This window comes from Homo sapiens, chromosome 4, assembly GCF_000001405.40.
Source record: "Homo sapiens chromosome 4, GRCh38.p14 Primary Assembly".
Taxonomy (NCBI): Eukaryota; Metazoa; Chordata; class Mammalia; order Primates; family Hominidae; genus Homo; species Homo sapiens.
The window spans coordinates 118,636,370-118,639,862 of NC_000004.12; the positions used below are offsets into that span (position 1 = coordinate 118,636,370).

Consider the following 3,493-nt stretch of genomic DNA (forward strand, 5'->3'; position numbering starts at 1 on the left):
CAGAGCAGCCCGCGAGGCTGAGGCTCCTCCCACTGGACCGTCACCCAACTGGCACCACTGCTGCCCCTGCCCCTACTCTCAGCCTGACGTGACTCTCGGGCAGAGACAGTGGTGGGGCAGCCAGGGCAGCGTCAAGAGTCTGAGCCAGGTGAGGTCCGGTCAGGACCCCCACAGGGCTGGGAGTCAGGGCAGGGGCAGAACAAACCTTGGAGGGGAAGATGTGTGCATAGTGGGCCTGGTGGGCGGCTGTGGCCTAGTGGACAGGAAGAAGCAGTGGGCCTGGAAGAGCTGCATGATCAGGGCCGGCACTGGTCCAGGGCGCGTGCAGTGAAGAGGACAGCACCTTCTCGGTCTCCGGTTCCCTGAGCCTGTCCTCGGCTTCTCCACCTGTACAGGCAAAGGGGAAGCTGTCCCCATCACACATGGCACACTTGGGGGTGTTGGGCTTTGGGCTGCAGCTGGAGCATCTTCTCATCTTGCATTTGGGTGTGGTGGGGTCCTCCAGTGTGGGATCCATGTCCGTGGGGTTCCCTCTGCCCCGACCCCGAAAGCCCAGTCAGTTTCTCTTCAGGCTCTGCCCCCTGGGTGGCTCAGCCCAGCTCCTGCCTAGGAAAGCCTTAGTGTTGGGAGGGACCCTGATGACTGAGGAGCCTGGTAGCTCCAGGTCGCCCACACTTTCAGGTCTTTTGCACCAGAAGGTGGCAGGATCCATTGGGAGGAAACAGGTCGCCTTGGAAGGTGTCCCTGGGCCCCCATCCCCAGGGGTAGGGGCCGTAGGGGGCCCGCTCTGCTGCCTTGACCAGACTCCTGGGCTTTGAAGGCTCCTGGGCCCAGTAAGAAGGAGGTGGGTGTCAAGGTTGAGGAGGAAGCATCCGAGTATGTGTAGGAGGAGGACAGGGTGGGACCATAGACTTTGCCAAAAGCTGCAGGTGGATCGGGGGACCCTGGGGGCTCAGTATCCAGCAAGGGGCAGCAGGAGTAAAGGAGGAAGGAATGACAGGTGCAAATACCTTCCCACCAAAGCCCTTGTTGCCCTCTGGCTCCTCCCCAGAGTTGTCCCCACTCTCAGTCGGTCACCCAGTCCTTGAACTTGAGATCGGTGTCAGTGGTGCTAAAGCCATCATCAGCAATGACATCATCACCCCCTCCTCCTCATGGATGACCGTGTGCTCCTCGTCACTCGCTATGTCCACACTGGCCATGTGCTGGGAATGAGCAGCTCAGGTGGGCAGCAGCAGGGCTGCCCACTGGTCACCTCCCTCACCAGGGGCTGCAAAGTGGCCTGGAGCTCCATACTGAGTAGAAGCCTTTGGGCCAGAGTATGATGCAGTGCCAGACACCACCTGTGTCAGTTCCTGTAGTGCCTGACGGTCTATTTCCCTGCCATCCAGGCTGTGTACCCCCCTGTGGGTGAAGGCTTGGGCCAGGCTGAGCCAGGTTCCCTGACTGTGTGCAGCCGTTCTGCCCCACAGAAGCTGCTCCTTGGTATCCGAGCTCTGGAGTGTTTGGGCTGCAACTGACAGGAGTTCAGAGGACACCCCAGGGGCAGTGGCAGTGCCCGTCTCTGATATGCTCCGCTCCCACAAGCCCTTGTTACACTCCTGCTAGCCCCTGGCTTGTGGGCTTGGCCTCTGAGCTGGACTTCTTTCGGTCCTTGTTGCAAGTGGGCCACCTTCACCTGGAAGGCCAGGTCGTGGTATTTCTGCGTCTCATTGGGCCCCAGGGTGTACCACCGCTCGCTCAGCATCTGGCTGACGGTCCGGTTATCCTGGTTGGGGTGACCCTGGTGCGCCCTGCCAGGGCCTGGTGCCGCTTGCTGAAGATCATGACCACCACTCATGGGCCACTGGATGTGGTCCTTGTCCCATTTGTTGGGGCTGCGTCCATCCTTCTCAGAAGATGAGTCCTGTTCCTTGTGCAGGGCACTGAGGGACTGGGCCTGACATCATCTGAGTGGTAGAGGCAACGGGGTGTCAGGAGACATGATGGAGAGGAAAGCATCATCATGGTCATTCTCTGTCTCACTGTCCAGCAGGGACTCCCCTGAGGGGCCCAGGGCTCCTCCTCCATGGTGGGAGGTGAGCTTTTACCAGGTTCCACCACCCCCAAAGTGTGTGGGGTTGCGGGCCCTGGGCTTTCAGGGCAGGTGGCTCCAGGGGGCCGCCCAGAGTCAGCACTCCCAGTCCCACCTGGTGGATGCTCATGAGCAACAGCTGCCAACTTGGCAGGTTGTTTTCTCTGGTTGGAGGCCACTGAGTGACTGGCAGGTTGCTGGGCCTCGTGTGGCTGCAGGGAGGGGTCAGGAAGGGGATGGAGTACCAGGGGAACACGGCCACAGAGTGACCTTCCACATTCCTCCACACGAACATGCTGACGCCACGGGAGGCCTCACTGAACGCAGGCCTGGGGGCCGAGTACTTGGTCCGGGCAGGGGGTTCCTGGCAGGGGCTCACCTCCTCGCCCCCTCCTCAGCCAAGGTGGCTTGGGCCCAGAGAAGGGGGGGTTGGAGAGGAGCAGAAGGCCAGGCCTCAAGTTTTGTTTTTTTTTGTTTGTTTTGTTTTTTGTTTTTGAAATGTAGTTTGACTCTTGTCACCCAGGCTGGAGTGCAGTGGCACGATCTCAGTGGCCTTCATACCTGGCTAATTTTTTGTATTTTTACTGGAGGTGGGGTTTTGCCATGTTGGCCAGGCTGGTCTTGACCTCCCATCCTCAGGTGATCCACCCACCTCAGCCTCCCAAAATGGGATTACAGGCATGAGCCACTGCTCCCAACTTCATTCATTTTTACTTGAAAAACTCCATTAAGCATTTTTTTAAGGTAGACCTAGTGGTCCTGAATGCCCTCAGCTTTGTTTGTTGAGGAAACACATTATTTCTTCTTTCTTTCTGAAGGACAGCTTTGTCAGACATAGTATTAGTTGCTGGCAGTTTTTTTCTTTCAGCACTTTGAATGTATTATTCGATTCTGTCCTGACCTGCAAAGTTTCTTTAACTTTTGACTATTTGATTATATTGTGACTTGGTGAGTATCTATTTGGTTTCAACCTCTTTAGGAATCTTTAAGCTTCATGGATTTAGATGTCTAAATCTTTCCCATGATTTAGGCAGTTTTCAGCCATTCTTTAAATAAGCTTTCTTTTCCTTTCTCTACTTTCCTTCTCAAACTCCCATAACCTGACAATGGTTTGCCTAATGGTGTCTTGTTGGCTTTCTTTTCTCTGTCTCTTTTTTTTTCTTTTTTTTTTTTTTGAGACAGAGTCGTGCTCTGTCACCCAGGCTGGAGTGCAATGTGTGGTCTCGGCTCACATTGCACTCCAACCTCCGCCTCCTGGGTTCAAGTGATTCTCCTGCCTCAGCCTCCCAAGTAGCTGGGACTACAGGTGTGTGCCACCACACCCGGCTAATTTTTGTATTTTTAGTAGAGATGGGGTTTTGTCATGTTGGCCAGGCTGGTCTTGAACTCCTGACCTCTTAATCTGCCTGCCTTGGCCTC

General features: G+C 55.9%; 1 pseudogene; it reads right to left on the reverse strand.

The window, feature by feature from the left end:
* On the reverse strand, window positions 625-2,457 carry CICP16 (capicua transcriptional repressor pseudogene 16; annotated as a pseudogene).